Source organism: Homo sapiens, chromosome 16 (assembly GCF_000001405.40).
Source record: "Homo sapiens chromosome 16, GRCh38.p14 Primary Assembly".
Classification (NCBI taxonomy): domain Eukaryota; kingdom Metazoa; phylum Chordata; class Mammalia; order Primates; family Hominidae; genus Homo; species Homo sapiens.
The window spans coordinates 8,762,280-8,786,950 of record NC_000016.10 but is presented as its reverse complement, the minus strand read 5'-3'; the positions used below and the strand labels follow the sequence as shown (position 1 = coordinate 8,786,950).

Here is a 24,671-nt window from a genome sequence, read left to right as displayed (position 1 = left end):
CCATGCCAATAAAAATTTTAAAATTTTATTCTTAGTAGAGACAGGGTCTTGCTGTGTTGCCCAAGCTGGTCTCAAACTCCTGAGCTCAGGCGAATTCACCCGCTTTGGCCTCCTGAAGTGCTGGGATTACAGGCATGAGCTACCACACCCAGTCTTGTATGCCTGTTTTTAAGATGAGGAAATTGAAGCTTGGAGAGGTTAAGGGAATCTGCTCCCAATCACACAACTTGAAAGTTAGGATTTGATACACACTGATGTGGAAGGATGCTGTAATATTAGCATGTGGACAGATGTGAGTGTATGTGCACTTGTGTGCAGTCAACTCAGGACTAGCTGAGGGTAGGAACTGTCAATCGCTCAAGGAACTTTCTCTCGGCCAGCCTGGCCATCAGCCTTGGAAGGTCAACTTGACCTGGTCGGCGTTGAGTGTGAGCTCCGACATGCACATTCCTAAGGTAGGTGAGTTGAAGGCACCGGAACTTCAAGGTCAGTAACCCTTTGATGGCCAGGCACGGTGGCTCCCGCCTGTAATCCCAGCACTTTGGGAGGCCAAGGTGGGAGGATCACCTGAGGTTAGGAGTTCGAGACCAGCCTGGCCAACATGGCGAAACCGCATCTCTACTAAAAATACAAAAAAATTAGCTGGGTGATCTGCCCACTTCGGCCTGCTGAAGTGCTGGGATTACAGGTGGGATCCACTGTGCCTGGCCAGTGGCACTTTTCAAAAAGCTCTTTCGGGTGATTCCTAAGCGCGTCCAGCGTTGAGAATCACCGTCCCGGATGCTTTGGATTCTCTACTTTTCTCTCTCTCCGTCCCCATTATTTTCCTAATTCATTCAGGCCACCAGGTGAGCGTGGCTGCAATAGACTCCTAACTGGCCTCCCTGCCTCCCTGTTCTTCACCGTGAACACTCAGGACAACCTTTCTATATATATTTTTTGAAACGGGGTCTCACTCTGTCGCCCAGGCTGGAGTACAGTGGCGTGATCTTGGCTCATCTTAACCTCCGCCTCCCAGCTTCAAGTGATTCTCCTGGCTCAGCCTCCTAAAGTGCTAGGATTATAGGTGTGAGCCACCACGTCCAGCCAGGACAATCTTTCTAAAACACCCCTCGGTTTGCTCCCTTGCATCAAGCCTCTGGCGGCTCCATCACCAGCATGGAAAGCCCACGCCCCTCATGTGGCACAGAAGGCTCTCGAGGGGCCCAGCTCCTGCCTGTTTTCTGGGCTCTTCTAGTCTCCTACTCTTTGTGATCTAGTGATACTGAACTTTTCATAGACGCCTGCTGTCGCCCTGTCTCTGTGCCTTCGTGGACCTCTTCTCTTGTGGAATGCCTTCCATCACTCTGGAGCAGCTTTTGCTCAGCCTTGAAGATGAAACTCAGGGGCTTAACTGCCACCCTGACTGATGTGAGGGGCCCAGCCTTTGTGCCTCTGCTGCATCCAGTGTTTTCCCACGTCCTGCTCCTTACACTGTTTTTTTTTTTTTTGGTTATTTTTTTATTTTTATTTTTTATTTTTCTTTACCTTGCTAGAATGTGAGCTGCGAGGCCAGGCGCAGTGGCTCACGTCTGTAATCCCAGCACTTTGGGAGGTTGAGGTGGGCGGATCACCTGAGGTCAGGAGTTCGAGACCAGCCTGACCAGCATGGTGAAACCTGTATTTACTAAAAATACAAAAAATTAGCTGGGCCTGGTGGCAGGTGCCTGTAATCCCAGCTACTTGGGAGGCTGAGGCAAGAGAATTGCTTGAACCTGGGAGGCGGAGGTTGCAGTGAGCCGAGATCGTGCCATTTCACTCCAGCCTGGGCAACGAGCAAAACTCCATCCAAAAAAAAAAAAAAGGGGGGCCGGGCGTGGTGGCTCACGCCTGTAATCCCAGCACTTTGGGAGGCTGAGGTGGGCGGATCACAGGGTCAGGAGTTCGAGACCAGCCTGGCCAAGACAGTGAAACCTCGTCTCTACTAAAAATACAAAAATTAGCTGGGCGCGGTGGCGAGCGCCTGTAATCCCAGCTACTCGGGAGGCTGAGGCAGCTTGAACCTGGGAGGCAGAGGTCACAGTGAGCCGAGATCATGTCACTGCACTCCAGCCTGGGTGAAAGAACTAGACTCTTGTCTCAAAAAAAAAAAAAAAAAGAATGTGAGCTGCGAGTACGGACCACATGTTGTCCATCCTTGTGTCCCTGTCACATAGCATGTCCTCGATTTACTTAATGAAATGCATGGCCTTACAGTGCTTCCTGATCCCAAGGCAGAGTTATGCATGTAGAGTGTTCCCCAAGACATCCCTAAGAGGTATATAACAGGCATTTAATAAGTACTTGTCACCTAATTATTTAACAAGACCATTTCCACCAAAAAAGTCCACATTCACTCATGTTTCAATTATAAATTTTATTTAAGAATACTGACTAACACAGGAAACAGATTTAATTCATGGAATTGTGCATATGGTCATCCGTTACATTGTGACATGTTAATTTTTTTTTTATCATTTATTGGCACTGTCAACAGATTACTTGTGAACAAGATCACTTTGTACGCTTAAGTCTGCGATGCTACTTAGCTATGGTTTTCTACCATGAGCTTATATATAGATAGGTGTAGGTATGTAGATACATTAATGCTATACACAATTTTGCATGGTTACTGAGCGTCAGTAAAAATTATGAAAAAACACCCATTTATAATAAAAGTGAGGATGTACTAAGACTTGCTATTACTGGACCTTGTTTTCTGTAAAAGTGATGACACTTGCTGGACGGTTACTAAACTCTATGGCACTAATGTATGATGGATTCATTTCCAGACTGTCGGCCACGGAAGCACTTCTTCATGGCCTCTGCCCTGGACAGCAGCCTGTCCTCCGGGCTCCCCATGTTTTTACCAGCTTCTGCTGAGTTTCTACAATCTTGAGCTCTGCTGAGAATTCTTTTCCTTGAAATTCTTCTAGCTAAAGCCCCAGCCCCCAAAAGAGCATGTCTCAGGAACTCATTATGCCCTGAGTCAACAAGAACTTGTTGATAAATGGCTTAAAAGTTTTTACAAGAAGTAACTTCCCTTGGTAAGGAGTAAATAATAGCTCTGGAATTTTCCAGATAAAACTATTTCATTTCTCTGTCAGTGCCCCATGGGGAGAGAACGAAATATTGGAGCCCCTCTCCCTACCAAAGAGAGCCACTTTTCTGGTTGTGCCCTGGCTTAAAACCCTTTGGACTCCGAGAACCATACTGAATATTTGCACCCAATGCTAAAGTTTTCAGGAGAAAGCATACTTAAGCCAATAAATGAATAATGGTTTGGTTTGCATTTTGCTTGCTTGTTAAATAAGGCCTTATTGAACCTTGGGATGCTGCCTGTGGAAACTGGCTTCCCCAGTGAAAGATGTGATGCCATGAACTGATACGCCTTTGCATATGCTGTTCCCTCTCTGCAACACCCTTCCTTGCCTTGCCTGCTTGGTGAACTCTGGCTCATTCTGCAAAACACTGCTCCAATGACACCTTTTCTTTGAAACCTCCTCTGACCCTTGGGTGAATGGTGGTTCTCCATCCGATTTCCTGATGCTTTTATTCACACCTCTGTCATAGCACTTGGCGCCTGCTTGAATTGTTAGTTTAAGAGTCTGTTGTTTCCAGTGGCATGTGAGCCCCCGGGGGCAGGGACAATGTTTTATCTCATCTTTGTATTCCCGATGCTCCGCACAGGGCCTGGGATGGTGCAGCTATTTAATGAAAGTTAGGTGAATGAATGAATGATGAATAAATGAATATAAAAATGAGGAAAACCTTGCAGAGAGTGGGAGGCATACATCACCACTTGGCTGGGAGTGCAGGTGACCTTAAACCTGGCAGAACTCCTGATTAAGAACGACGGATTAGCACTGACTGCAGGAATGCAAAATGAACAAGAATTCACGAATTTGTATATGTTAAACTTGTCATTGCCTTTCATTCTTCAACAAAAATAGGTCGATGACCAAGTCTGCGGAAGAGTGGAAGCTAAAAAAAAAAACCCTTACTTTGAGATCTTTGGACGATTTGTTATTAAAAGAGCAAAGTGCTGAATCAGGAACCTTGATATGCCTATTTCCAAAATAGTCAACCAAGGCACCGGGAGATGAAGAGGCTTCCTTTTGGACAGATAATACAAGCCAGGCTTTCTCAGACTCCCCACCAAATAATACTTCTCTGCTGTCAGGCTATCAAGTTCTCTTTTAGGAGCATTCGAGGTCAAATCAGTTCCCAGAGTGTCTCACCTCCAGCAGAGATGCTACAGCCTCAGCCACAGCCCCTTTAAGCATTTCGGTATCATCTGCCTGGTAATCTCCATACTCAGTCATCTCAGGAAAATCTCTCATTTCAGGAGGATCAAGTACAAGGAAACCACGTTGAACCAACAGGCCACTTTTCCATGCATGGAGCTCTGGCACCTTTAATTCATGGTGCTTCCCTCCAGAAGAAATCCAGTCCAGCAATGATTCCCTCTGCTCTGGTGGAACAGCCAAGCTGTTCCTGGGGGTCAGCTCACAAGTGGTGTGAAGGTGGATGAGCAAAAGAGAGGAAGAGCCTCTTAGGGCGAGGGAGCCAAAAGTCAGACCTCAAGTTGCCCTGGGAAACATGATGCGATGGCTCTGCTGCCCCAGACCCTGGGCTTTTCCTCCTGGGGTGACGGGCCTGTGCTTCTAGCCCTGTGGCTCACGTGTGTCCCTGTGGACACTCAGGCTACAGTTTCCTCCCACCCAGGTCCAGGTCTAGGTTGACATTTAACAGGGAGGAGGGAGTTTGGGGAATGGAGGATGCCGAGTAAGAATCACGGGTAAGGCCACCTGGGGATCCTCCAAGGGCAAAGCCCTGTCCAGGGCAGAATTCACAGTTTAGGGGGATCCCCAGGTGCACTGAGAGGGGTGATTCTCATCTTCAGGGGGCCAGAGGACCTCTTCCCTTACTCCTGAGCTGAATCCTCCTGTCCCCATTTTACGGCCTTCCTCAGATCTGTCCAGTCCCTCCTGCACCATGCGTGGGGCGTGCTCAGAGCTCCGGGAGGCTGGGAGAGGAGGTGAGAGTGTGTTTGCTTGCATAGGGCGAGGGGGAGCCAACATCCGTGATCACAGAATATGGCACTTGAGATGGACTGGCACCCAGGAGGCCCAGCTGCCAGTCCCAGGAACAAATGTAATGCCCTTGACTGGCTTTTGGAAAAATTGCTGGGGTTGGTCAAGGTTGGGCAGAACTCTAGCCAGGACCTCCCATGGCCCTTCCCAAGATGAGTCCAGGGCTCAAGCAGGATCTCTGGGCTTAAACCAATGTGCACCATTGGCTCTGCAGGGAGGAAAATCAACACCAGCCCTTCCCTCCCCTCCCCTCCCCCAAGACCACCAAAAATGCTCCCTCCCCACAAATCACCCTTCACTGTGCATTCACCTCTGATACTTTTAAGTGAAAACATGAATTAGGCAAACTAATCAATTTGACAACTGTTGGGATCCGGGCTTTCTCACTGTAGTGGAAATGGCTTCTTTACTTGAAGTCTGCTAAGATGTCACTGAAAATATTGAGGAACAGGTGAGCGTGGTGATCCCTGAAGACCAGCGTGGGACGGAAACGAATGGATTTGTCACCACAGCCACCCAACACCACACCTGAAAGAGGCAGGAGGTAGGTGAGGAGCGTGGTTTCTCAAAGTCACATGCTGGGAGAGCTGGGGGGAAAGTGATGCCTGTTGGCAACGCTCATCCATCCATCCATCCATCCATCCATCATCCTCCATCATGGAAGCCCGGGCTTCCTTCCTACCACCCACCCATCCAGTCTTCATTTCCTTTCTCTCTCCCCTCATTCATCTCCTCCATCATTCTCTTCTTCCTTTCCTTCCCTCCACACTTCCTTTTTCCCTTCCTCCCTCCCTCTCTCCTTTGAGTGCCTGCTTTGCTGCCCCAAGCTAGGTCTGGTGATAGAGAAATCCTGAGATAAAGTCCTTGCCTTCCACAAAGTCATGGAGGAGTGGGAAAAGAAAATAGGTAAGCAAATAAGTTGCAAAAGCACAGGCTGAGTCGGAAGCATGTGTGAGGTGCTGAGCTATTACGGAGGAGGGACAGGCTCTGCTTATTTTAAAGGGTGACTTCACAGTTACAGCTGGTGTCCTTTCCTTGTCGAGGTTGTTTATGCCTTTTTTTTTTTTTTTTTTAGAGATGGAGTCTCGCGCTGTCACCCAGGCTGGGGTGCAGTGGCAACCCAGTCTCACTCACTGCAACCTCCACCTCCCAGGTTCAAGCCATTCTCCTGCCTCAGTCTCCCAAGTAGCTGGGATCACAGGTGCCGCCACCACGGCCAGCTAATTTTTGTATTTTCAGTAGAGATGAGGTTTTGCCCCGTTGGCCAGGCTGGTCTCGAACTCCTGACTTCAGCTGATCTGCCCACGTCGGCCTCCCAAAGTGCTGGGATTACAGGCGTGAGCTACTGCACCCGGCCTGTTTATGCCTTTGAGACCACGTTTTCTCATTTTTAAAATGGAGGTTGATTATCCCTGCCCTTCTGAGGCTGCTGCAAGGATTCTGTAAGATGGCACAAGAAGAACTGACAATGTGCCTGACATAGAGTACGTGCTCTGATCTCACCACAGCGTCTGCCCTTACCCCTGCCACACATGTCCTCAGTGGCTTCCCACAGCTCCTAGGATGAAGTCTGGAGTGCTAAGCCTGATCTGCAGGCCCATGCGACCCGGGCCTGGCCTCTCCTCCCCCAGCTTCATCCCCTCCCAACCGTTCGCCTTCACGCCCCCTTCTTTCCCTTTTACCACCTCTGTAAGCTCCATCCCACCTCAGGCCATCGCATGCACCCTTCCCTCCGCCCAGAATGCTCTTCCTTACCTTCTTCACCCAGCCAATCCCTGTTTGTCAAGACTTAGGGTAAAATGCTACTTCCTCAAGGGAGCCTGCCCTGATTTCCTACCCTCACCAACTGCTGCAGCTATCTGCTCTCTTAGCTGCGTTTTCTCCTTCCCAGGACTTAAAATTGCAATGGATTGGTTGTGAAATGCCATGTGTAAAGCCATGCCTTCCTGCTACACTGCATGCTTCCTGAAGGAAGGGGCTCTGATGGTCTTCATCATCACTGTAACTGTCTCCAGTGTCCACTTACAACTCACCTCCTCAGCGAACGCTTGTTGAGTAAATAAATGGATAAAGAAATCCCATTTGTAATGTTCTCTTCTTTGGAGAAAGAGCATTCAGGCTCTTTTCAGACCTGTGTACCACCTGCCCCCCACACAAAATATTGCTGAGTACCTAGCAACATGTGGCAGCTACAGCAGGAGATACTGGATGCTCATGAAACTCAGCAGCCACTCCTGACCCCTTACCTTTGTTTCTGGCAATTAAAATGAGCTTATTCCGTATGGAATCATCGGGAGTATCGAAGGAGCAAAAGGTGCCTCGTCCTCTCACCCTGCTGATGAACTGGGGGTACCGGGCCTGTAGTGGGAGGAGACAAGGCTGGCGTCAAAGCCCATCACCTGTGTACCAGCTGGGCTTAATGGCTGTGCTTCGTCAAAGGCCTCCCATGGTCCAGCCTCGGCCTCTGCATGGACTGGCAGGACCTCCAGGGGGTTAAGAGCTCTGGGGACATTCAGGCCTGGGTTCAAAGCCCAGCTGTGCACATGTGTGTTGTGTGGAGGAAAAAAACCACCACCACCACCACCAGCAACAACAACCAAGCCCAGCTCTGTCCCTCTCACTGTATAACCTTGGGCCACTCAAGTGCCTCTGTTTACCCTGCTATAAACTGAAGGATTTAAATGCTGTTGACCCCACTGGGGCCGTGGTGAGACTTTAGCACGATAAGGTTCACATGTTAAGTCCTAAGCCTGGGGCTGGGCACTTGGTGGATGCTCCACAGATGTTAGCCATCTCCATCGTCAGCTCTTCTAGAAAGGTGGTTCTTCTGGAAGAAGAAATGCCTGTCCTCCCTCAGGGCTTTGAGACTGGGAGCTGTACTGGATTGAATAGTTTCCTCCCACTGCCCCCTAAATTCATGTTTACCTGGAACCTATGACTAGGACCTAATTTGGAAATAAGGTCTTCGCAGAAATAATTAGTTAGGTTAAAATGAAGTCTTCCTGCATTAGAATGGCCCCTAATGCAATGACTGTTTTTTGTTTTTTGTTTTTTTTTTTTGAGATGGAGTCTCACTCTGTTGCCCTGGCTGGAGTGCAGTGGCACTATCTCGGCTCACTGCATCCTCTGCCTCCCAGGTTCAAAGATTCTTGTGCTTCAGCCTCCTAAATACCTGGGATTACAGGCACCTGCCATCACACCTGGCTAACTTTTTTTTGTAGTTTTAGTAGAAACTGGTTTCACAATGTAGGCCAGGCTGGTTTCGAACTCCTGACCTCAAGTGATCCACCTGCCTTGGCCTCCCAAAGTGCTGGGATTACAGGTGTGAGCCACAGCGCCCGGCTCAATGACTGGTATCTTTATAAGAAGAAGACAATCTGGAGACAGACACAGGCACAGTGGGGAGAACACCAAGTGACGCCAGAAGCAGAGTGAAGCCTCCACACGTCAAGGAACATGAAGGATTCCCGGCAGCCACGAGAAGGTGGAGAGGGGCATGGAACAGATTCTCCCCCAGAGCCTCGAGAAGGAGCCAACTCTGCTGAAACCTTGATTTCAGACCCTGGCCTCCAAACTGTGAGAGAATAAATTCTTGTTTTAACCCACACAGTTTGTGGTGATTTTTTACAGCAGACAAGGAAACAAATGCAGGTGCCTAGTCTGGAGGACCTTGATTTCACCTTACTCTCTGCTGTCCATATGAAGGACAGCAAACAAGGGCTTGGAAAACCCCAAATAATTTCAGGGTACTGGGGGCTGAGTTGGGGGAGCAAGTCTTATTTCACGGCAGCTCATTGGTAGAAACTGGAGACATGGTCCTATTCTGGGGGTGACAGAGCCGGGCACCGTGTTAGACACTTATGTGCACAATTTGTTTCTTTTTGTGGAGTATGGGTTCTCACCATGTTGCCCGGGCTGGTCTCAAACTCAGTTGAGCTGAAGGCAATCCTCCTGCTTCTGCCTCCCTAAGTACTGGGGTTACAGGCATGAGCCCCTGTGCCTGGCAGTGGGCACATTCTTGAATCCCCTGCCAGTGAAGAAGGGCTCACTTTGGTCTACACAGATAAGGAAACTGAGGCTCAGAAGTCCTTCCAGCACTTACTCTAGCATGTTCCTTGCACTTGTCAATTGCTGGGGAGCTGGCAGTTTGAACACACCCCTCCCTCTCCCACAGAGTGTGGCCCTGGGATGGTTTAGATTAAAGTCTCTTCCATTTAGACACCCCTTTAGGCCTGCCTGCCACACTCACACACACACATCCCCACACGTCCTTACGGTTAGGAGTGACCACGTGACCAGCTCTTAATCAAGTGTTAGAAGTATTATGTGAGATTTCTGGGAAGGCTGCTAAAGACAAGAAGGGGGCCACTCTGTCCTTCCCTTCTTTTTCCTTCCTATTGCCTGGAATTGAGATGCGATGGCTGGAGCTCCAGGAGCCATTTTGGCCCATGACGAAACCTTGAGGGTAGAGAGTAATCCAGCTCCAGCAGGGGAGGGCAGTGCTGCCGAGTGGTAAGTATGCAACAGGTTGCACAAAGGCGGGAATAATGAACACACTAGAGGGGGTGAGAGAGGGAGTGCTTGGGGGACTCTCAAAGGGGGGATGTCTGAAATTGGTGTCAAAAGATAACCAGGGCCGGGCACGGTGGCCCATGCTCGTGAAATCCCAGCACTTTGGGAGGCTGAGGCAAGCGGATCACCTGAGGTCGGGGGTTCGAGACCAGCCTGGCCAACATGGTGAAACCCTGTCTCTATTCAAAATACAAAAAAATTAGTAGGGCATAACGGCACATGCCCGTAATCCCAGCTACTTGGGAGGCTGAGGCCGGAGAATCTCCTGAACCCAGGAGGCAGCGGTTGCGGTGAGCTGAGATTGCGCCACTGCACTCCAGCCTGGGTACAAAGCAAGACTTGGTCTCAAAAAATAAATAGACAAATAAAATAAAATAAAATAAATAAGAAAGATAACCAGTGCCGGCAGGCGCTGCCCAGCACTTTGGGAGGCTGAGGTGGAAGGATCGTTTGAGGCCAGGAGTTCAAGGCCGGACTGGCTAACAGAGCTTGACCATGTCTCAATATTAAAAAAATAAAAAATAAATTAAAAAAAACAACAACAAAGAAAACCAGGAGTTCAGGAATAGGGGTTGGAATGGGATGGAGGGATAGGGAGGCATCCCCTGCAGAGGACACAGCATGTGCAAAGCCCCCAAGGCTAGGAGCAGCACAGCCCGTTACGAACTGCTGGAACAGCAGGCACAACACCATGCCGAAGAGCTCCAGTGTTGCCCCGGAGGCTGCTGCGGGGAGCCATGGGTGGTGGGGGCGGGGCAGGGGAGGGGGTGTTACCTGGAGGTCCAGCAGTCCTGTGAGCAGGGCCTTCCCGGCATGGGCTGCATTATTTAGCAGGTCCTCCCGCTTGATGATGTTGATGACCTCAGCCAGCAACAGGTTCTTGGACGGGTCCCCCAGCCAGGTGTTGAAGATCCGGTAGGGCTGGAATGAGGAACGGGTGTTGGAAGGCTTCACACACATGCACACCCTGCAGGAGTCACTTACCCCAGGCGCCCCGCCTCCTCTCTTGAAGAGGAGAGAAACTAATCTAGTGGGCATCTACCAGAGGCTGGCAGGGGAACACACCCAATCTCGCTGAATTCTTCTCTACCAGAGGCTAGCAGGAGAACACACCCAATCTTGCTGAATTCTTCCAACAGCAGCCCTGCATGTAGGAACTGCTATGGGGAGGACCAAATCGTCCCATGCACTGGGAAATCCCTCAGTCCCAGGAAACCAAGACAGTCAGTTCCTTAACTCCTATAACCCTCATTTTATACAGGAGGAAGCTGAGGTTCTGGGAGGCTAAGTGATTTGTCTAAGGCAAACGTGACTTACAGATGGAGTTGGGACTGGATTGCTGGCAGTGACCCTCAAAGATCATCCACTTTACCCCTCCATGAATGATTTAGGGTGGCCATGCGGCTAACTGAAACACCCTTCCCAGCCTCCCTTATGGCTAGAAGTGGCCATGTGACTGGGTCTTAGTCAAGTATTGGAAATAGACATATTATGTGAGATTTCTAGAAAGGCTGCTAAAGACAAGAAGGGGGCCACTTTGTCCTTCCCTTCTTTTTCTTTCCTACTGCCTAGAATTGAGATGTGATGGCTGGAGCATCAGAAGCCATTTTGGACCATGAGGCAACCTTGAGGGTAGAAACTACATGTAGGAATGGTGAAAGGACGTTGGCCCCTGATGGCTGTGTGTGTGTGTGTGTGTAAATCTGTATGCACACATGGCAGTACACAGTGTAGTGGGTAAGAGTATGGGCTCTGGGTTGGAATCCTGGCTTTGTCACTTAACAGGCTGTGTGACCTTTGACAAATTACTTAACCTCTCTGTGCCTGATTCCTCATTAGTCAAATGAGGATAAAAATAACAGCTACTTGGTTAGATTGTTCTCAGGATTAAAAGTATATGAGAAATACTTAGAACTAGGCACATAGCAAATGCTCAGTCTGCTGCGGCAGCTGTCGATGATATTATTGTGTGTGCACACAGAGAGAAAACAGGAAAAGGCTGATGGTGGACTGTTCCAGAGTTGGCCTTACAGAGAGAGCTGGGAGGGCACACCACTGCTAATTGCATTGATAAGAACTGGGACTTAGAAAACCTGCGACCCAGTAAGTGCCCACCCAGCTCCTCGATGGTGAGAAAGGAACAGTTAGGAGAAGAGGATGCTCCCTTCTCTGCCCTGGATGTAGAGAGAAGGTTGGCTCCAACTCACAGCATTAGGCCTGAACTCCTCCTTGTGGAAGAAGCCCCCAGTCATCATCTTCTTGCTGAAGGTCATCACGTCTGCTGGGTCATCCAGGCCCCAGTGCTCATGGGCCCAGAACTTGCCCGTGCAGCCTCCTCCGGTCTGGACCTCGTCCACCAAGAAGGCGCAGCCATGCTGGCCGGAGAAGAGAGAGGAGGGAGAAATAAACACCCGTGGGAGGCCAGAAATTCATGCCCTCCATAGCCAGCTAACTGCCAAACCCTGGGTCCACACACATCGTGCTTGTTTTCTGAAGAGCAAACCAGCCCCATGTTCTTGAGCTGTGCACAAAAAAAACTAATCAAAACACTTAAGCTGAGCAGTTCCAACCAGAGCTGAATCTGAGTGTTTCCTAAAACTGCTAAGCTGGACCAAAAAAACCCAGAACATTAAATACTCCCTGCACCAACACAGAGCGGTATGTCATCTGGCTTCAGTCTCGGGTCTCGACCTCGTCAGAGGGAGCTGTGTCCAACAGTGAGGCCTCGAATGTGCTTCTCAAACTTCAGCTGCCATGTTCTGCTTGTCACCAAGGCTATTTCTAACTCAGCATCTGTGTTAAGTCAACTCACGTCTTATAACTTTTATCTGTGAACTTATCGGTTTGATTGCCAGTTATATATGCACAAGACATTAAAACAAACACACAATATAAAGAAAGCAAATCAGTGTGTCAAAGAGATACCTGCACTCCCATGTTTATTGCAGCACTGTTCACAATAGCCGAGATACAGAATCAATCTGTCCATCGATGGATGAATGGATAAAGTAAATATGGTACATATACACACTCGGCAAGGCGCGGTGGCTCTCACCTGTAATTCCAGCACTTTGGGAGGCTGAGGCGGGCAAATCACCCAAGGCCAGGAGTCTGAGCCAATCAGCCTGGCCAACATGGCGAAACCCCGTCTCTACTGAAAATACAAAAATTAGCTGGGCATGGTGTCGTGCACCTGTAATCTCAGCTACTTGGGAGACTGAGGCAGGAGAATCACTTGGACCCAGGAGGCAGAGGTTACAGTGAGCCAAGATCGTGCCACTGCACTCCAGCCTGGGCAACAGAGTGAGACTGTCTCAAAAAAAAAGAAAAAGAAAATATGGTACATATACACAAAGAAATACTATTCAGCCATAAAAAGAATGAAATTATGTCATTAGCAATGACGTGGATGGAACTACAGGACATTATGTTAAGTGACATAAGCCACACATACACAAATATTGCATGTTCTCACTCAGGTGGGAACTAAAAACACTTCCCTTATGAAGAAATAGAGTCGAATGACGCCTATCAGAGGCTGGCAAGGCTAATGGGGAGGTGGAGATAAATAGGGGTTGGTTAATGGATACAAAAGTACAGTTAGATAGAAGAATAAGATCTAGTGTCCAGTAGCACAATAGGGTGATTTTAGTTAATAATTTATTGCATAGTTCAAAATAGGAGTGGATTTGGAATATTCCCAATACAAAGAGATGATAAATATTTTAGGTGATGGATATCCAATTACCCAGATTTGATCATTACGCACTGCAACTATTATGTATCCAAAAAGGTTTTTTAAAAAGATTTTAAGGCCAAGTGTGGTGGCTCAGGCCTGTAATCCCAGCACTTTGGGAGGCTGAGGTGTGCAGATCACCTGAGGTCAGGAGTTCAAGACCAGCCTGGCCAACATGGCGAAATCTCGTCTCTGTTAGAAATACAAAAATTAGTTGGGTATGGTGACGTGTGCCTGTAGTCCCAGCTACTCGGGAGGCTGAGGTAGGAGAATCACTTGAACCTGGGAGGTAGGGGTTGCAGTGAGCTGAGATTGCACCACTGCACTCCAGCCTGGGTAACAGAGTGAGACTCTGTCTCAAAAAAAAAAATATATATATATGTGTGTGTGTGTGTGTGTGTGTGTGTGTGTGTGTGTGTGTGTATAGTTTTAGGGAAGAATCCCCATTCTTTCACCAACCCCAACTTCTCCACCCCTGATGCTGACAGACAGCCTCTGCAAGTCTGGAGATTGACAGAAGCTCCAAGGCAGAGGTGCTGCTGGCCCGTTACTCGGGGAACTCAACCCAGAAAACCCAATGGCTCCATCCAACCTCGGCCCTGTCCACTGACCTTCCTGGCGATGTCTCTCAGCTTCCGAAAGAAGTCATCGGATGCGTGGTTGTCTCCACCCTCGGACTGGATGGGCTCCACGATGATCCCGGCCACCGTCTTCTTCTTTTTCCGATATTTCACAATCAGATCCTCCACCTGGATCCCAAAGGGGAAAGTGACCACCGATGGCAGAGGCTTGTGACCAGTATCCGTGGGTGGGAATCTGGGGTTCGATGAGCCCCATGCAATTTTATTGGAAATGTGTTTGTGTGCATTTCCTAAGACCAGTGAAGCCTCTGTTAGAAGCTATGTGTGTGGATGGGAATGTATCCTACTTGAAATCGGTGCTAGCACCTGGGTGGATACAAACTAATAAATTGGGGCAAGTAATTTAGCTTCAGAAGCCTCACTTTCCTGATGTGTTGTATGGGCACACTGACAGAATCCACCTTCCAGGGTCGTGGAGAGGACTGAATGAGAAAATATAGCACTATGAGTTGATTGCTGGGCCAGATGTTTTAGCTGTGGTTCTGCCTCTGTTTTACATGGAACATGCACCTGTCACTTAACCTTGTTATGTGGGAAATAGCTACATCACGGGTATATTGAGAGAAATAAAGGTGAGAGCATTCACACACACACACACACACACACACACACACACACACACACACACACACACAGAGACAGAGAGAAAATACAGCAGAGTCTGGCACACATAAAGTGGTGGCTGCTACTATTACGATTAGCACGACTATATTATTATTGATTATTATTGTTCCTATTCTTACAGTATTATTGCTATGATTGGTGTGAGAATCCTTTTGGGGCAGAATCGGAGATATATCCTCGGTTAAAAAACTGTTCTAAGGGCCAGGTGTGGTGGCTCACACCTGCAATCCCAGCACTTTGGGTGGCTGAGGCAGGAGGATACCTTGAGGCCAGGAGTTTGAGACCAGCCTGTGCAACATAGCGCGGTTCATGTCTGCAAAACATTTAGAAATTAGCTGGGCATGGTGGCTGCGTGCCTGTAGTCTCAGCTACTTGAGAGGCTGAGGTGGGAGGACCCCTTGAACCAGGACTGTGAGATCGCAGTGAGCTATGACCACACCACTGCACTCCAGCCTGTGCAACACAGCAAGATCCTGTCTTTGTTAAAAAGAAAGAGGCTGGGCATGGTGGCTCACACCTGTAATCCTAGCACTTTGGGAGGCTAAGGCGAGCAGATCACCTGAGGTCAGGAGTTCCAGACCAGCCTGGCTACCATGGTGAAACCCCATCTCTACTAAAAATACAAAAATTAGTTGGGCATGGTGGCTCACGCCTGTACTCCCAGCTACTCCAGTGGCTGAGGCACGAGAATCGCTTGAACCCAGGAGGTAGAAGTTGCAATGAGCCGAGATATCGTGCCACTGCACCCCAGCCTGGGCAAGAGAGTGAAACTCTGTCTCAAAAAAAAAAAAAAAAGAAAGAAAAACCCTAAACCGTACACCTAGATAGACTAACAAGTGAAAGCTTTCTTTATTATGTACAATTAAGAAAAAGCCTCTGTTTGGGTGATATGATTTTGACCTTGGTCTCCACCAGTCACCCCAAGGAAGCTCTGAGATACTTTTCTTGGTTTTCTTTTTTTTTTTTTTGAGATGGAGTTTTACTCTTGTTGCCCAGGCTGGAGTGCAATAGCGCAATCTCAGCTCACCGCAACCACCACCTCCCGGGTTCAAGTGATTCTCCTGCTTCGGCCTCTGGAGTAGCTGGGATTACAGGCATGCACCACCATGCCCGGCTAATTTTGTATTTTTAGTAGAGATGGGGTTTCTCCATGTTAGTCAGGCTGCTCTTGAACTCCTGACCTCAGGTGATCTGCCCGCCTCAACCTCCCAAAGTGTCGCAGTTACAGGCATGAGCCACCGCGCCCGGTTTTTCTTTGTTTTTAGAGCATTGTGCTGTAAGTGTAAAATACACACAGTGTTTCAAAAACTGAATACGAAGAAAAGGACTATCTTAGTTTGTTTAGACCTAAATAAATGAATTTTTAAAATAAAGGAATTTTTAAAAAGGAATATAAAAATCACATTGTTTAAAAATACTAATTACACATTTACGTGATAATATTTTGAATATATTCGGTTCAATAAAATGCTCTGAAAATGAATTTCACCTATTTCTTTGTAATTTTAAAAAACGTGACTCCTGGCCACGCACGGTGGCTCACACCTGTAATCCCAGCAATTTGGGAAGCCGAAGTGGGCAGACCACTTGGGCCCAGGAGTTTGAGACCAACCTGGGCAACACGGCAAAACCTGTTTCTGCAAAAAATACAAAAATTAGCCAGGTGTGGTGGTGTCATGTGCCTTAGTTCCAACTACTCAAGAAGCTGAGGTGGGAGGATCACCTGAGCCCAGAGAGGTCGAGACTGCAGTGAGCTGTGATTGCACCACTGCACTCCAGCCTGGGTGACAGAGTGAGACCCTGTCTCAAACAAAACAAAAGAAAAGAAGGCCGGCGCGGTGGCTCACACCTGTAATCCCAGCACTTTGGGAGGCCGAGGCGGGCGGATCACAAGGTCAGGAGATCGAGACCATCCTGGCTAACACGGTGAAACCCTGTCTCTATTAAAAATACAAAAAATTAGCCGGGTGTGGTGTCAAGCGCCTGTAGTCCCAGCTACTCAGGAAGCTGAGGCAGGAAAATGGCATGAACCCAGGAGGCGGAGCTTGCAGTGAGCTGAGATCGCGCCACTGCACTCCAGCCTGGGCAACAGAGCTAGACTCCATCTCAAAAACAAAGCAAAACAAAACAAAGCAAATGTGACTCCTTGGCAGTTTCCAGGCAGGGTGTAAAAATGAAAGAAAAGGTGACTACTGGAAAAGCTATAATTACATATGTGGCTTGCATTATATTTCTATTGGACAGTGCTGTACTTGATGCCATTATCTTGTCTTTTCTATTTACCACTGAATACCCAGCACCTAGCACCTTGCTTGACATCTAGTAGGTGCTCAATAAATATGAACTGATTGAAAATGATGATGTGCCTAAGAAAAAAACCAGCAGCCTTATTTGAGTTCAAATCTATACCCAAACAGTGATATTTTTTTCCAGCTGCAGATTACTTCCAATGTCTTCCCTGGAACCCCCATATACTGAGTGGATCTAAAGAGGGCTGTGTTAGATGACGTGGAAACGGGGGGTAGGGGGGTGCTGCCTGTCCTCAGCCTCTCCCATAGCATCCCCCGACCCACAGCAACTCAAAGCCCCAAGACTCAGGAGAAGACAAAACCAGTGGTTTAGAGGATCTTGTGGAACCATTTTTTCCTGTGGGATATCCCATATTCTTTCTTTCTCTCTCTCTCTTTTTTTTTTTTTTTTTTTTTTGGACAGAGTCTCACTCCGTTACCCAGGCTGGAGTGCAGTGGTGCAATCTTGGCTCATTGCAACCTCTGCCTCCCGGGTCCAAGGGATTCTTGTGCCTCAGCCTCCCTAGTAGCTGGGATTACAGGCATGTGCCACCACACCCAGCTAATTTTTAGTAGAGATGGGGTTTCACCATGTTGGCCAGGCTGGTCTCGAACTCCTGGCCTCAGGTGATCCTCCCGTCTCAGCCTCCCAAAGTGCTGGGATTACAGGCGGAGCCACCGTGCCCAGCCCCATATTCTTTCAACTGATCTGTTTTCTCTTATTTTAGAGTCATTGACTCTTGTCTTCCAAGAAACTTAAGTGATACAGAAATTGGTATCAGAGTTGGGTGATGGATGCTGTGACAGAAACAGTGTGTCTCACGAACTCTCCCAACATAGAACATTTGGGACGCAAGGCCTCTGTGTCCCTGCTTCCCTCTGGGGGAGCACTGCACAGATCCCCAGATAAACCCTTCATCTGTTTCTCTTCTCCCCAAGTCTTGGGGCGGCAAGAGCAACAGGACTGGTGGTTGGGGAGGATCCGCAGGGTATGAGCATTACCTCTTCCAGACAGCGGGCCTCCTCCTGTTGGTTCTCTTTCACAAACTCTTCCAGAGGGTATTTCAGCCGTGGGAACGGTGCGATGGGCCAGTCAAAGGAAGGGATGTCGATCTTGTGAATGGCTTTAGAGTGCGTGGTCGCTAAGCAACCTGAGTTCAGCAAAACAGAAAAGCAGACGCTTGGCTTGGGGAAGCAGGCAGTACCGTCTTTGTAAAGGAGATGATAGACATTTCAGCGCAAGGCTGTCAGTGGGCAGGGAGGCCTGTTGCCTGTGAAACCCCAGTTCTTTTTATCGTTTAATTTTTAATTTTTCTGGGTGCATAGGAGGTGTATATACTTGGGGAGTACATGAGATGTTTTGATACTGAACCCCAGTTCTCATCCGGAAGCTGAAGGGGGACTCTCGAACCCTTAATTGGCATGCGTGCGTGGGTATGTGTTTGCATTGCGATTAATCACAGATGCAGCGCAGGCTTTGAAGACAGAGTCAAGAGTTCCAGTCCCGGCTCTGTCACTGAATAGCCTTGGAAATTCTTCCTCTTCCTGAACACTGATTCCCCCATCTGCAAAGCAGGAATAATAATCCCCACTCTGCAGTGGGATTGTGTGCAATCAGTGGGACAATATGTGTAAACTGCTAATGTCAGCCGCCGCTATTGTTGCCGTTATTATTACTATTCTAAACGCCACCTTGGGAGCGCAATGGTCCCTCCTTACCCATGGTCCTCCCATGGAACGCGCCCATGAAGGAGAGGATGCTGTAGTCGGGGCAGCCAGGGGCCTAAAACCAAGAAATATCAGTCATTAGTCATAGTTGTAAGGATGGGGGAACTGTATTGTTGCCCCTGCAAGTCCAGAGGGACACAGAAATCTATCAGAAGAACCAGGAATCCTTCTCAGGCAAAAGTTACCCATGGGACCAATGGGGTCTATATCCAAGACACACGTTTTATTTGCATACATACTTACATTTTTTTTTTTTTAAGTCACAAATTTTAGGCTGGGTGTGGTGGCTCACACCTGTAATCCCAGCACTTTGGAAGGCTGAGGCAGGCGGATCATCGGAGGTCAGGAGTTTGGGATCAGCCTGGCCAACATGGTGAAACCCCGTCTCTACTAAAAATACAAAAATTAGACAGGCATGGTGGTGGGGGCCTGTAATCCTAGCTACTTGGGAGGCTGAGACAGGAGAATCGCTTGAACCCGGGAGACAGAGGTTGCAGTGAGCCGAGTTCGCGCCACTGCACCCCAGCCTGGTCAACAAGAGCGAGACTCTGTCTCAAAACAAGTTGCAAAATTTAAAACTAAGAAATTTCACATAGAGACCTGAACTTCTGGCTTCTCACCAGTGCTGCACTGTTTGGACCCATTTTCCTCCTGTGGCAGCTGTAAGTGGCCAAGCAGTACCCACTGCCCGCCTACCTCCAGCTGCTGGGGACTCCTGGGTTTTCAGCCCCTTTTCTACAGGCTCTTCAACTTCCTCCCCATCCCCTGGCTCCCTACTACTCAGGCCTCCTCAGGTGTCAGGCGGGTCAGGTGCTGATGGGTGCACGCCTGCATCCCAGGGTGACCAAGGCAAGGGGCCGAGCTGGGCACCTTGCAGGAAAACCCCCAGGCCTTTGGAAGGGGTCTGTGGTGCTAGAAAGCGGGTGAGGGGAGCCCCTCTCCGGGCACTCTCCCATGGCAGCTGCGCCTTGGGTTCAGGAGGGGTGCATGGACGCCCTGTCCCTTTCCAGCCCCAAGCAAATGGCACAGCTGCAACTCCTTGCATTGTTTTCTGACTCTTCACCCAGCAAGGGAATCCAAACATGTTTCCAGCTGATTCAGGCAGAACTGCTGGAGGTGCCTCAGAGGGAACTGTGGGGGCCCCCAAGTCTCAAGGAGGTTGGCATTGTCTCAGGCTGGTTGAGCACCAATTCCCTGAGACCTCTGGGAAAAACCCTAAGAACTCCTCCCACAGATTCCAGAAACCCTCTTGTACTTTTTTTGTTTTGTTTTGTTTTTGAGATGGAGTCTTGCTCTGTCGCCAGGCTGGAGTGCAGTGGTGAGATCTCGGCCTACTGCAACCTCCGCGCCCGTCGGGTTCAAGCGATTCTCCTGCCTCAGCCTCCCGAGTAGCTGGAATTACAGGTACCCGCCACCACATCTGGCTAATTTTTGTATTTTTAGTAGAGACAGGGTTTCGCCATATTGGCCAGGCTGGTCTGGAACTCCTGACCTCGGGAGATCCACCCGCCTCGGCCTCCCAAAGTGCTGGGATTACAGGCGTGAACCACAGCAGCCGGCCTTTTGTTTTTGTTTTTGTTTTTTTGTTTGTTTTGAGAGGAGTCTCACTCTGTCACCCAGGCTGGAGTGTAGTGGTGTGATCTCGGCTCACTGCAACCTCCACCTCCTGGGTTCAAATGATTCTCCTGCCTCAGCCTCCCAAGTAGCTGGGATTACATGCATGTGCCACTATGCCCGGGTAATTTTTGTCTTTTTAGTAGAGATGGGGTTTCACCATATTAGCCAGGCTGGTCTTGAACTCCTGACCTTGGGTGATCCGCCTGCCTTGGCCTCCCAAAGTGCTGGGATTACAGGCATGAGCCACCGCGCCTGGCCTGGCCCTTCCTAATTGAGGACAGTGCCAGCCAGCCAGCAACAGCCCGGGAGAGGCTGTGCAGCTTCCCCAGATGTACGTGGTGCAAGCCCAGCTGCACTCACCTGGTTAATCATGCACGTCTCCAGCTCCTCCTGGGAGAAGCCCCTCTGCCCTCTTTCCTTGCTCTGAAACAATAGAACAGAACAAAATCTCAGAGATGCTCTGGGGTAGTCGGGGCTTCATCTTTCCAACCAAACCGATATTCAGTCCAGACAAGTAGAAAGTGCTTTCTCAGGAGTGGATCTCATGTATTAATTGTTGCAGGTCTGTACTGAAACGTGAGGCTACCAACTGTGCTCGCAACAAAAGAAACTAACACACATAATGCATTAAGCACCATCAGCAACGATTAAGATCTGTTGGATTAAGATCTGCTGAGAGCGTTGCATGTTTTGCCAGGAAGAATGGAGGCCAGATGTGCGGGCTCAAATCTGTAATCCTAGTACTTTGGGTGGCTAAGACAGGAGGATTGCTTGAGGCCAAGAGTTTGAGACCATGCTGGGCAACAAAGTGGGACTCTGTCTCTGCAATTTAGAATATTTAAATAAATTTAAATTTAAATATTTAAATAAAATAACCTAGAGGCACAACCCAGAGACCTTGGCTTGCCTGGAAGGGTTTTTTTTGTTTTTGTTTTCGTTTCTGTTTTTGTTTTTTTACAGGGTCTTGCTCCTTGCTCTTGCTGTGTCTCTCAGGTTGGAGTGCAGTAGCATGATATCAGCTAACTGCAGCCTCGACCTCCCAGGCTCAAGTGATCCTCCCACCTCAGCCTTCCAAGTAGCTGGGACAACAGGCAGGCACCACCGCACCCAGCTAATTTTTTGTATATTTTATAGAGACGGGGTTTCACCATGTTGCCCAGGCTGGTCTTGAACTCTTGGACTCAAGTGATCTGCCTGCCTCAGCCTCCCGAAGTGCTGGGATTACAAGTGTGAGCCACTGTGCCCAACCTTGGAGGGGAATTTAAGGAGCATTTTCTTCTTCTTTTTTTTTTTTTGAGACAGGGTCTTACTCTGTCACCCAGGCTGAAATGCAGTGGCACAACCATGGCTCACTGCAGCCTTGACCTCCCAGGCTCAAGCAATCCTTCCACCTCAGCCTCCAGAATAGTTGGGACTACAGGCATGCGTCACCATGCCTGGCCAATTTTTGAATTTTTTTTTAGTAGAGATGGGGTTTCGTCATGTTGCCCAGGCTGGTCTCGAGCTCCTGGGCTCAAGTGATCTGCCCGCCTTTGCCTCTCAGAGTGTTGGGATTACAGGTGTGAACGACTGCGCCCAGCCCCCATTGCATAGTTTTGATGCCAAAGCCTCAGCCCTCTGCACCATACCCCACTGTGCCGTCTCAAAGTACCATCCAGCAGTGGCCCTCCCTGTATTTTAACCCTGGTACTGATGTCTAATACTCCAGCCCATTGGAATGAACAGTCAGACAAGGGGTGAGCGTGTGGCTGGGTGCTGGGGAGCCTGTGTGTGTGTGTGTGTGTGTGCCCCAAACCTCACCCGGTACCACATGAAGATGGTCTTTAAGGCGTTTTCATTGGAGCAGGAGCCGCAGGCCATGGTGATGAGCTGGGACATCCCTTTGGGAGCCACCTGTGGGGAGGGAAATAGCCGTGAGCCCAGGCTCATCATGACTCCTGTCCTCCCGCTTCCCCTGGCTGGAGCTGAATCTTCGCAGGGGCCGTACCGGGGACAGACAGAACCAGGGCTGTCCTGGAAGGTGTCGGACTGGGAGGGTGGGCTCAGGCTTTTCCAGGGGTGGCGGAGAAGCCCAGGGAGGCCCTGAGGCTGGCAGAGAGGAAAGAAGGGGGGCAAAAGCCCACTCCTGATGCACCTGCCACTGTCTAAGACACCTACACGTTCCAGGCGGGACGTTGAGGCTCCCAATGGCTTTAATCGTTTGTAGTAACTAAAACCGAGAAGTGGGGGCAGGATTGAATGACATATGCAAGGCTCCTATCATGCGACACATATTCATTTCCCCAGCTCCTTTTGTCCTGCACACAAAGAATCCCTTCTGTCCTTTAAAAGAAAAATTTAAAATACTCTGCATGGAAGAATAAGCTCAGAGAGAAAGATTTCTGTAGCAACACCTTATTCTTCATTGTTGGCGTCTCCACTTTTCCCTTCCCCTGCCAGTACCACGTCTGAAGACAATGGGATTGCTTCTCCAGAACTCACCGAGAGCAAGGACTGCCGGAGCTTCTCCACAAAGTTCTCCGGAGGCAGGATTCCGAGGGCGGGTCTGTTGACAAACATGCTCTGCAAAAGGGCAAGAGACAAATGGTGACTTCTGGGGGCCTGACCCAGCTCCCTGCCCACAAATGGTGCTTTTCATAGCCCCTGTGTTCAAATAGCCTCCAAATGGGGTTGCAGGATGATGACGTTCTGTCAGCGTGGGGCATGGCCGGTTTCCTTAAACCTTTAGAGAAATCCACTAGGATTGCTGTGGATGTTTTAAAAAAGGGTCAGTGTCCTGGTTGCCATATTGCATTGGCGTTATATAGGATGCTACTGCCGCTGGGGAAAACTGAGCGAAGCGTACATGGGGCTCTTTGTACTGGTTTTTGCAACTTCCCGTGAGTCTCTTTCTTTATATATTTAACCATCAGAATGGCTAAAAAACAGGCAGAGTGCAGTGCCTCACGCCTGTAATCCCTGCATTTTGGGAGGCCGAGGCGGATGGATTGCTTGAGGCCAGGAGTTCGAGACCAGCCTGGCCAACATGGTGAAACCTTTTCTCTGCTAAAAATACAAAAAGGGACTTTTGGAGTAGAGAAAGAGTGTCTTGGGCAAAATCAGTGTAATGCACTCAGTGCAAATCCAAAAACCAGCATCACTGTATAGGACACCCTAAGGGCAGAGGGGTTCCCAGAGATGATTCTCCCAGTAGCTTTAGGACTTGACTTGTGCTGCTAGAAACTGGCAGATTCCTACCTCTTGCTTTTTCTGCTTCACGATCACTCAGTTGGGTCTAGGATAAGTAGTGAGGGAAGTTAATTGTCCTCATTGTAGAGTTGGGGGAACTGAGGACCAGAGAGGTCAAGCAACTTGCCCCAAGTCACACAGCCAAGAAGGGGCAGAACCACAACTCGGATCTAGGTTTACTGACTTTAGATGCCACTCTCTGTCAGATACTCCAGGTAGCCTCTGCCCGAAAATGCTCATGCTTGGCACAACCCAGAGACCTTGGCTTGCCTGGAAGGGCTTTTTTTTTTTTTTTTTTGTTACAGGGTCTTGCTCTCTCAGGTTGGAGTGCAGTAGCGTGATATCAGCTTACTGCAGCCTCAACCTCCGAGACTCAAGTGATCCTCCCACCTCAGCCTTCCAAGTAGCTGGGACTACAGGCACATGCCACCGCACCCAGCTAATTTTTTGTATTTTTTTATAGAGACAGGGTTTCGCCATGTTGCCCAGGCTGGTCTTGAACTCTTGGACTCAAGTGATCTGCCTGCCTCAGCCTCCCAAAGTGCTGGGATTACAAGTGTGAGCCACTGTGCCCAACCTTGGAGGGGACTTTAAGGAACATTTCCTTCTGGCTCTGACCTGTTAGTGGGGCTCCTAAGAAATCACATCATGAGAATAGGGTGGAAGCAAGCTGGCCCTCACTAGCAGCAGGGAAATGGCTCCCAGAAGGGTAGGGCTGGCTGGCAGCTTGACAGCCGTCTGGGTCTAGGAACGACGTGGGGGTGATGTTCTTGCTCGAGAAAGCGTGACATTAAGAACAGAAGATATCTGGGACATTGGGTATCAGGATCAAATGAGGATAGCTTTCTAAACCCTTGCAGTCAGCTCAACAGGCTTAGGGTACAGCATGAAGATAATTGGCTTTGGCTTAAGTGGCTGTGCAACCTTGGGCAACTCACTTAACCTCTCTGAGCTTTGGGTTTCTCATCTGCCAAACTGGAGACTCTTCACTAGGTGCTTGTAAGAAGCCAGTGAGATGATATGGCATACAGAGGATGCAGGAGTTCAGTCTCAAAGGAAGAGTTATGCAGAGGGAAAGACCCAGAGGTCATAGGATGGCAGGTGTCTTACTTGGTCAGGCCTG

The 24,671-nt window shown here is 49.1% G+C and overlaps 1 protein-coding gene across 24 annotated transcripts in view; it reads right to left on the bottom strand.

The window, feature by feature from the left end:
• ABAT (4-aminobutyrate aminotransferase) overlaps window positions 2,381-24,671 on the bottom strand; it is a 109,954-nt gene continuing 87,663 nt past the window's right edge. For 16 of the 24 annotated variants that reach the window (XM_047433688.1, NM_001386602.1, NM_001386615.1 and 13 more), the window contains 10 exons: window positions 22,802-22,882; window positions 22,121-22,213; window positions 20,681-20,743; window positions 18,695-18,758; window positions 17,978-18,126; window positions 14,034-14,171; window positions 11,894-12,061; window positions 10,461-10,607; window positions 7,361-7,472; window positions 2,381-5,642 (listed from right to left, as the gene is read on the bottom strand). In XM_047433688.1, the coding sequence (XP_047289644.1) occupies window positions 5,521-5,642; window positions 7,361-7,472; window positions 10,461-10,607; window positions 11,894-12,061; window positions 14,034-14,171; window positions 17,978-18,126; window positions 18,695-18,758; window positions 20,681-20,743; window positions 22,121-22,213; window positions 22,802-22,882 (1,137 nt within the window). In that variant the 3' untranslated portion in view covers window positions 2,381-5,520. Of the gene's footprint in view, window positions 5,702-7,360; window positions 7,473-10,460; window positions 10,608-11,893; window positions 12,062-14,033; window positions 14,172-17,977; window positions 18,127-18,694; window positions 18,759-20,680; window positions 20,744-22,120; window positions 22,214-22,801; window positions 22,883-24,671 lie in introns of all 24 variants that reach the window. The other 8 variants (NM_001386607.1, NM_001386612.1, NM_001386606.1 and 5 more) reach the window with 5 other exon arrangements.